Below are 9,440 nucleotides of genomic sequence, written 5' to 3' on the forward strand. Positions count from 1 at the left end.
GCTCGGCGCGGGCCCGCGAGATGCCGGTGTTGGCGGCCCGAGCGGCTGCAGTTGCAGGGGCGGGGGAGGCGGCGGCGGGGCCCGGGAGAGGGGTGGCGTGGGGGACCGGCGCGTAGCCGGGACCATGGAGGGGCAGAGCGGCCGCTGCAAGATCGTGGTGGTGGGAGACGCAGAGTGCGGCAAGACGGCGCTGCTGCAGGTGTTCGCCAAGGACGCCTATCCCGGGGTGAGGGACCTGCGTCTTGGGAGGGGGACGCTAAGGCTGCTGGGGGGTGGGTGACAGGGGCCCTGGCGACGGATGGGAATGGGTACTCGGGTAACCAGGGACAAGAGACAGGGGGTCGGAGGACGCGGGGAGGCCTTGAGGGCTCAGGAAGGACTGCAGAGGATTGGGGTGGGAGGAATTAGGGAGCAGGGTGAGATAGATGGGGTTTGGGAGAACCAGAGCATCCGGGAGGGAGGGCGAGGGGAATGTCGGAGGTCCTGGGCAATGGAGAGGGGAAGAACTAGGGGGCTGAAGGGACCAGAAGGGAACAGGAGGAGGTCTGGGAGCTTAGCAGAGATTCTCCGGGGGGGGGGGGGGGGGGGCAGGAGCTCCCGGGATCTCCCCTTTGCCCAATCCCAGACCAACTTGTGTCCAGGGGCTGGGCTGGACGGGGTGTGGGAGTGAGGAGGGCATTTATCTGGGGTGAGGACTTGGAGAGATGATCTCATCTGGATCCATCCGTGTCTGCAGAGTTATGTCCCCACCGTGTTTGAGAACTACACTGCGAGCTTTGAGATCGACAAGCGCCGCATTGAGCTCAACATGTGGGACACTTCAGGTAGCCAAGTCCCTGGGGGTCACCCTGACTTCCAAGGCGGCCCACTCTGTCCCCTCCCTTGGTTAGACCCTTAGGTTCCAGGTAAGCCCAGCCCATCCATCCAATTCCAACAGGAAGGGAAAAATCAATATTCTGCTAAAATCCAGGGAAACTGAGGTAGAACTTGCAGAGCCTGACAGAAACCATGTCCTGAAGGAGAAAGCCTAGGATCTGAGCCCCTCAGCTGGGTCCTGCCTACCTGGGAAAGTTGGGAAGGAATGGCTTTTAATTTGGAACATGTTCCTTCAGAGATAAGACTGGGTTTAGAAAAGACATTTAGAGGCCAGGCACGGTGGCTCACGCCTGTAATCCTAGCACTTTGGGAGGCTGGGGTGGGGGGATCACCTGAGGTCAGGAGTTTGAGACCAGCCTGGCCAACATGGTTGAAACTCCGTCTCTACTAAAAATACAAAAATTAATCGGGCGTGTGGCACGTGCCTGTAATCTCAGCTACCAGGAGGCTGAGGCAAGAGAATCGCTGGAACCTGGGAGGCGGAGGCTGCAGTGAGCCGAGATCATGCCGCTGCACTCCAGCCTGAGCGATAGAGCGAGACTCCATCTCAAAAAATAAAAAAGCAGAAAAGACATTTAGAATGTCTTGAGTGAGGGGTGGTCAGGAGGCTGTTTCTCTCCATTGAACTAGATAAATCTGAGGTCAAGTCCCAGGAGAATGGGAGAGTGCTCTCCCTGCCACTGCTCTTTTCCTCCTCCCAACATAAGGAGGGTTTTTATTTTTACAAGAGTTCCCTTCAGGGCTTTAGACTGCCAAAGCCCAGAAAGCACATGCAACATTTTATGAGAATGTCTATAGATTTTATGAGCTTCTCAAAGGGGTCCAAACCTCAGTCAAGAATAAAAATTATTACTTTTTAAACCACTAGGGAAGCAGAGAGCCGTTTCCCACCATGTGACCTCCCTTCTGCCCGCTCCCCCACTTGGGAAACCCAGACTCCATGATGGGTATTAATGATGGGTATTAATGGTTGCTCTTTTCCATTCTCTGCTCCCAGCATCCCTTGACCAGGATCTGTAAGGTCTCCCATTCCCTTCCAGGCCTCCCATCCACTCAGGCCCCTCATGCCCTGTCTTCCTTCAGGTTCCTCTTACTATGATAATGTCCGGCCTCTGGCCTATCCTGATTCTGATGCTGTGCTCATCTGCTTCGACATTAGCCGACCAGAAACACTGGACAGTGTTCTCAAGAAGGTGGGAGCCTGGGGAAATAGGGCAGCTAGACTGAGGGGGACCAGACCACCATGGTCCTGACATAACATGGGCCAGGAGGAGGGAGTGATGGCTGGGGTATGGCCATCAGCTGGTTAGCGAGTGAAGCTCTCATCCCTGCCACCCCTGCCTCCAGCCCCCATCCCTCCCAGCCACCCCTTTCCTGAAAGTCCTCAGAGCTGGATACAGCAGCTAGGGGAGGTGGGGGAGTGAAGGGAGAAGCACTCACAGGATTCCTTCTCTGCTCTTCCAACTCCTTGGCAGTGGGAGTCCCAGATGGAGGGGATGGGATGGGAAGCCTGATCCTGGAGCTCAGGAAAGCCCTGTGGCCTCCTCTCCAGGCCCCAGTTTCCATGACAAAAGCCAGGGGTGAATGGACAGAAGTCAGCTAGGGCAGCCCCAGTTCCCAGGTGGGGGAGGGGAGGGTGGGATAAATTTGTTCCCAGGAGAGAGTATGGGAAAGGCGAGTGGGAATGGGAAGTTTCCAGGCTGGCAGACCCTTCATAGCCACTGAGGGAGAAGAGTCCACAGGCCCACGCCAGCCCTCTCCTCCCCGCTGCTTCTCTCTCACCCCATCCTGCTCTCAAACCAAGCCTAGCATTCTCACCTCCTTCCTCATGTGGGAGAGTCCTGAGGGATACATGGTTTCTGCGTGCTTGAGGAAGAGAGGGCACACTGCTGGCATGGCACAAAGGCTCACGCTGTGCCTCCCTCCACCCCTCCACAATTCTCTTTTCTTCTCCTACATAGTGGCAAGGAGAGACTCAAGAGTTCTGCCCCAATGCCAAGGTTGTGCTGGTTGGCTGTAAACTGGACATGCGGACTGACCTGGCCACACTGAGGGAGCTGTCCAAGCAGAGGCTTATCCCTGTTACACATGAGCAGGTGGGACCCTTGACGTCTGACCTCATCCCAGCCTAGACCTGTCACCTCTGCCCCTTCAGTCTCTGATTTGAAAACACCTTACCTGGCTCATCCTTTGTTCTGGTCTGTGACCTCTGACCTGATCCCTTGACTGCCCCCAGCCTTGACATTCAACCCCAGCCCACAGCCTCCATGCCCCTTTCTAAGCTGCAGGCTAAGACCTATAACTTTCTCCCATGCACTCCTTCCTTTTCCAGGGCACTGTGCTGGCCAAGCAGGTGGGGGCTGTGTCCTATGTTGAGTGCTCCTCCCGGTCCTCTGAGCGCAGCGTCAGGGATGTCTTCCATGTGGCTACAGTGGCCTCCCTTGGCCGTGGCCATAGGCAGCTGCGCCGAACTGACTCACGCCGGGGAATGCAGCGATCCGCTCAGCTGTCAGGACGGCCAGACCGGGGGAATGAGGGCGAGATACACAAGGATCGAGCCAAAAGCTGCAACCTCATGTGAGGGGCTAGGAGAGGGCAGAGTGTGAAGAGGGGTGGTGAGGGACACAATTGTTCCCCTGCCTGCGCCCAGGCTTCCTGACCTCCTGATCCTGGCTGGGAAGTTAGGGCAGGCAGAGCGAGCAATTCTGGGCAGGGGAGCTGGAGGGCAGAAGGGTATCATCGTTTCTCATCTCCTCCTCCCTCCTCTTCTCCAGTGGATGTTGAGGGAGCTAACAGGGCTGGCATCTGGGGCATGAACTGGGATGGGGCAGGTGGGCGTTAGGGAAGCTGGTATCAAATGGTGACCTTGGTGGAGTCTCCTATGTGAAGAGTACCCTCCCTCTCCACCCCCAGTCCCCATATCCTGGTTCTGGCCCAAGGAAAATGTCCATTCTATGACCTTCTCTTTTCCTCTCCTCTCACTTCTGCAGCTATTCTCACACATCTAACCTCTAGGCAACATGCACTAAATTCAAAAGCAAGGAGAAGCCCTTGCCCCCCATCAGTCCACCAGCCCTAGAACCTCCCTTGCCTCAACAGTCACCTAATAAAGCCCACCTCCATGGAAAACGGCTGTGGCTTTAGTTTTGTTGCTTTTTAAAAAAATCAATCTACCAATCTTTAGCAGTAAGAGGGAAAGTTAGACCTCAGCTGGGGAACTTTCCTGTCCATGTCCACAGATAGAGCAGAGGACAAAGCCATAGGTTGGATCAGAAGTGTCCTTTTAGGAGTCAGAGTTGGGAGAAGGAGACATCCTGGGACTGTTCATCCTAGTTAATGAAGTGGGCAATTCTCAGGCCATTAGGGGGTTTTAGAGCAGACCGACATATAATTAGTCAGCATTTCTCAGCCCAGCCAGGCCTGCTGCTAGTGTGGGAGGGGTCCTGCTCACCATCTGTACCCCTGGCTTGGAGCCTGCTGGTACCCTGGGGGTTGTGGGGATAAGGAGGCATCAGGCCGGGCGCGCTGGCTCACGCCTGTAATCCCAGCACTTTGGGAGGCCGAGGTGGGCGGATCACAAGTTCAGGAGATCGAGACCATCCTGGCTAACACGGTGAAACCCCATCTCTACTAAAAATACAAAAAATTAGCCAGGCGCGGTGGCAGTGCCTGTAGTCCCAGCTGCTCGGGAGGCTGAGGCAGGAGAATGGTGTGAACCCGGGTGAACCTGGGAGGCGGAGCTTGCAGTGAGCCGAGATTGCGCCACTGCATTCTAGCCTGGATGACAGAGCAAGACTCTGTCTCCAAAAAAAAAAAAAAAAAAAAAAAAGAAGGCATCAAAAGCCTCCACATCACAGAAGCTACCCCTGTACAGCGTGAAGTTTCCTAAGAGGTCAGTAGTTTGATTCTGGGGTCTCCTTAGAGGCTCAGGCCAGGGACCTTTCTCTCCTCCCATGCTGAGTTTCATGATGGCTTTCAGGGGAGCATCAGCTGTTAGAGTCACCCCTACCCTGTCCCTTAAAGGAAAGACGGTGGAGAGGACGGCTGAGCGCCTGTTGTCAGGAAAGACAGTACTGGTCTGTTTTCTCGGGAGTCTGGTTTCAGATTGTCCTGTATTCCCTTCCTGGCTCTGGTCCCACTGGCCTCTTTTCGGTGACATTCTCCCCCAGGAACCATCCCTGGCCCTTCCCTCCCCCAGCCCTAGCCAGTTCTCCCAGACACACTGGAAGAGAACACTGACCTTACCCAACTATCTGCTGGGATCCCACCCAAATTTATAGCCCATTCCTCCCTCATTCATTCATTCAGCAAGTATGTACTGAACACCAACTGTGTGGCATACACTGGCTTGGGAGATTGCAAGGACCAGTCTCTAAGCTTTTGGAGGCCAGCCCAGTGTGGAAGAGAGGTACCTCAGGTGTGAGGGTGCCATGGCTGAGGGATATTTGTACATGTATGGGATGCTATGGGAGCTCCTTGCAGCCTGAGAAGCCAGTCCTGTGAGCCAGGTCCTGAGGGTTGAAGAGGAGTTTTCCGGGCAGGGAAGGGGTAGGAAAGGCACTCTGGGCAGAGGGTACAGCATGTGTAAACACGTGGAGATGAGAATGAGCATAGCACTGTTGGGGCTCCCATGGCAGGGAGAATAGAAGACAAGGCTAGGAAGGTACACTGAGGCTACTGCAGGGTCCACAGAGGAATCAGAATTTCATTCTGAGGATGAATGAAATCATCCTCAGAGGATGAAGCCACCAGGAATTTCAGGCAGAGAGTGAAGTGATCAGAGTTGTTTTTTGGATAGATGGTTATCTGGATGTGGTGTTGGAGCTGGGAGATTTGGCTCTGAGGTGTGTCATTTAAAATAATAGCTTCTCGGCAGTGGCTCACACCTATAATCCCAGCCAAGATTCCTCCTTTGGGAGGCCAAGCTGGGAGGATCGCTTGAGGCCAGGAGTTAGAGACTGCAGTGAGCTATGATCATGCCATTGTCTTCCAGCCTGAGTGTCAGAGTGAGACCCTGTCTCTAAAAAAAATTAAAAAATAAAAAATAAAAAATAGCTTCTCCTTTCCCTTATGCCAGGTTCCAGTCTTGAGAGGAAAGGAATCCCTACCCACCACTCCCTGGATCATCAGATATCCCTATCCCAACCTCTCCTATGGGACTAGTTCATCTCAGCCAGTCTCAAAGATTCTAGGATAACTTCAATGGCATTTGAAATTATCTAAGTGTGCTTGGATAACCACCCCCTCAAACTGAGACCTGGTTAGGGACTGACTCAAAGACCCTGAGTCCTCGGCTAAGGGTACAGGAGAGGGCAGGGGCTCCAGGCCCAGCTAGGTGGATCTCCATCTGTCTCTGAGGACTGACCCTTTCCCCACAAGGACCTGCCATAAAAATCGACTTGCGATTTTTAGCTGAGTGGCTTCTCTTTTCCACTTTGGACTTCTCAGTGTATAGCAGGTTCAAGCCTGCAACCACCAAAGTGCAGAGTGTGGAGTGTTTGTGCCCCCTCTTTCCTCCAACCTCCATATCCTGCCATGTGAGCTCAGGGAATGCAAATGCATTTAAATATCCATCTAAAGCAAACATAATTAGAAAAATCAATCAGCTGGAGGACCCCCCAAAGTTTAATACATTTTCAATACCACCAGGAATGGATTTTTGGTCCCTTTCTGCAGGTCTGGGTTGCCAGACGTTTTATTTCTGGGGAGGAGGGCTCTGGGCTGAGGAGCTCAGTGGGTGGGAGGAGGGAATGGGACTGTTGCTGATCCTCAAAGGCCTCTGTAGGATGGAGGGAGGGGACCTTACTCCCTTCCCCACCCCAGATGCAGGAGTCACCCAGCTTCCTTCTCTGCGCTGTTTCCTTCACAAATTAGACATTGGTTTGGGAAACAATGTAGCCTCGTTAAACATTTAATGAAATAAACAAATAATCACACTGTGATGGCTGCCAGAGTTTCTGTGTTTTTTTTTTTTTTTTTTTTTTTTTTTTGAGACGGAGTTTCACTCTGTCATTCAGGCTGGAGTGCAGTGGCACCATCTCGGCTCACTGCAACCTCTGCCTCCTGGGTTCAAGCGATTCTCCTGCCTCAGTCTCCTGAGTAGCTGGGACTACAGGCGCGCGCCACCATGCACAGCTAATTTTAGTGTTTTTTTTTTTTTTGAGACGGAGTTTCACTCTTATTGCCCAGGCTGGAGTGCACTGGCGCGATCTCGGCTCACGGCAACCTCACCTCCTGGGTTCAAGTGATTCTCCTGCCTCAGCTTCCTGAAGTAGCTGGGATTACAGCCATGTGCCACCATGCCCAGCTAATTTTGTATTTTTAGTAGAGATGGGGTTTCTCCATGTTGGTCAGGCTAGTCTTGAACTCCCGACCTAACGTGATCCACCCACCTCGGCCTCCCAAAGTGCTGGGATTACAGGCATGAGCCACCGTGCCCAGCCATTTTTGTATTTTTAGTAGAGACAGGGTTTCACCATGTTGGCCAGGATGGTCTCCATCTCTTGACCTCATGATCCGCCTGCTTCAGTCTCCCAAAGTGCTGGGATTACAGGCGTGAGCCACCATGCCTGACCTAATTTTTGTATTTTTAGTAGAGATGGGGTTTCACCATGTTGGCCAGGCTGGTCTCGAACTCCTGACCTCAGGTGATCCACCCACCTTGGCCTCCCAAAGTGTTGGGATTACAGGCAGGAGCCACCGCGCCCAGACTAGTGGTTTTTTTTTTGAGAGTCTCGCTTTCTTGCCCAGGCTGGAGTGCAGTGGCCCAATCTTGGCTCACTGCAAGCTCCACCTCACAGGTTCACGCCATTCTCCTGCCTCAGCCGCCCCAGTAACTGGGACCACAGGCACCCGCCACCACGCCTGGCTAATTTTTTTTTTTTTTTTTTTGAGACGGAGTCTCGCTCTGTCGCCCAGGCTGGAGTGCAGTGGCGCAATCTCGGCTCACTGCAAGCTCTGCCTCCTGGGTTCACGCCATTCTCCTGCCTCAGCCTCCCGAGTAGCTGGGACTACAGGCACCTGCCACCACGTCCGGCTCATTTTTTGTATTTTTAGTAGAGACGGGGTTTCACCGTGTTAGTCAGGATGGTCTTGATCTCCTGACCTCGTGATCCGCCTGTCTTGGCCTCCCAAAGTGCTGGGATTACAGGCATAAGCCACCGCGCCCGGCCTAATTTTTTGTATTTTTTAGTAGAGACGAGGTTTCACCGTGTTAGCCAGGATGGTCTCAATTTCCTGACCTAGTGATCCACCTGCCTTGGCCTCCCAAAGTGCTGGGATTACAGGCGTGAGCCACCTCGCCCAGACTAGTGTTTCTTAACCTAGGCAATCCGCCTGCCTAGGAGGGAGGAGGGGGAAGGACAGGGTGGATGGGAAGAGAGGACTCAATCAAACTCCTGAAACACTTCAGCTGACAAGGGTCCTCCCCTTGTGACTCTGGCCCTCCCAGGGGGTAGTCGTGGGAAGAGCTTCAGGTTCAGAGGCAGAAGTCCCAGGGCCTGGGTTGAGCTCTGCTGCTTCTTCCCTGGGGAATCTTTGGTGAGGCCCAGCACCTCTCTGAACCTCAGTTTTTGCACCTAGAAAAGGGGGCTGATCACCACATCTACCTCATTGTGTTGCTCAGCTGATGTCAACTTTTATTCTTTACAACCAAGACACCAAGGCTTAAGTGCTTCTAAGCTGGGCCTGAGGGAGTTGGGAAAGGCTTCTTGGAGGGGTATTTTGTGCTGGGACTTAAAGGCTGGAGGAAGACAGAAGACAGAAAGCAGGAGGTGGTTATGTCTTGTTCCCACCCCTATCTTGGGGCCTGAAGAGAGCTTTAGTGACTCCTCCAAAGATTGAGGTCCCTCCCTGCCAAATCCCCCTCTGCGAGAAACACCCAAGAATGATCAATAAAAAAAAATAAATAAATTGAAAAAAAAAAAAAAAGATTGAGGTCCCTTGGTCTCCATTTTTCTGAACTCCTCTTATTACGTTTTCTGCAGTCTCTGGGTGAGGACTTCATGTTGCCATAGTGACCCTCTCCCTGCTTCAGATGCACTCAGACTTGTCCTGCAGGCTGAGGAAGGTGTGGGGGGAGGGGTCATGTCCCTGAGATTCCCAGTGGGGCAGGCACTCTTGGCACAGCTCTCTCCCCCAACTCCACATTCTCTTCCCCAGGAAAGGGTTTAGCGTTTTGTTCTCAGTTTGTTCTACACAAGGCAGCTCCTCTCCTGCTTCCTTCCTTCCAGCCAGGTTCCCAGATCTCCCTCCATCTCTGTCTGGTCAATCCCTTACTTGCTGTCCTCAAAGCTGTGAGTGAGGGTCAGAGAGAGGGGAGGCTCCAGGTCGGGAGGTGTGGGATGATTCCTGAGTAGCTACCCGCTAGCAGCGGAGAGACAAGAGAGCCCTGTACACTAGTGCCCCTCCCGACAAGAAAATGCCTCTGCTGTTGACTCCTAAATAACAGATGTCTGTCTGCATATTAATGAGACTGGACGAATAATTGGTGAGTTTTTCATTCAGTGTCAGAATGAACCCGGAGGCCTTATGTTCATGCACACAGACACCCACTCACCCCTGAC

General features: G+C 53.3%; 1 protein-coding gene across 3 annotated transcripts; it reads left to right on the forward strand.

Moving 5' to 3' along the window:
• Positions 8-6,818, forward strand: RND2 (Rho family GTPase 2). Of its 3 annotated transcripts, none has more exons than XM_011525316.2 (6): positions 8-226; positions 737-824; positions 1,960-2,069; positions 2,838-2,972; positions 3,209-3,453; positions 3,867-4,005. In XM_011525316.2, the coding sequence occupies exons 1-6, from the start codon at positions 125-127 to the stop codon at positions 3,889-3,891; spliced, it is 705 nt and encodes a 234-aa protein (XP_011523618.1). In that variant the 5' UTR covers positions 8-124; the 3' UTR covers positions 3,892-4,005. The 3 variants fall into 3 exon arrangements, with proteins under 3 accessions (XP_011523618.1, NP_005431.1, XP_011523619.1); XM_011525317.3 differs by lacking the exon at positions 8-226 and adding an exon at positions 279-316; NM_005440.5 differs by having other exon boundaries at positions 3,209-6,818.

The sequence above is a fragment of the Homo sapiens genome, chromosome 17, assembly GCF_000001405.40.
Source record: "Homo sapiens chromosome 17, GRCh38.p14 Primary Assembly".
Taxonomy (NCBI): Eukaryota; Metazoa; Chordata; class Mammalia; order Primates; family Hominidae; genus Homo; species Homo sapiens.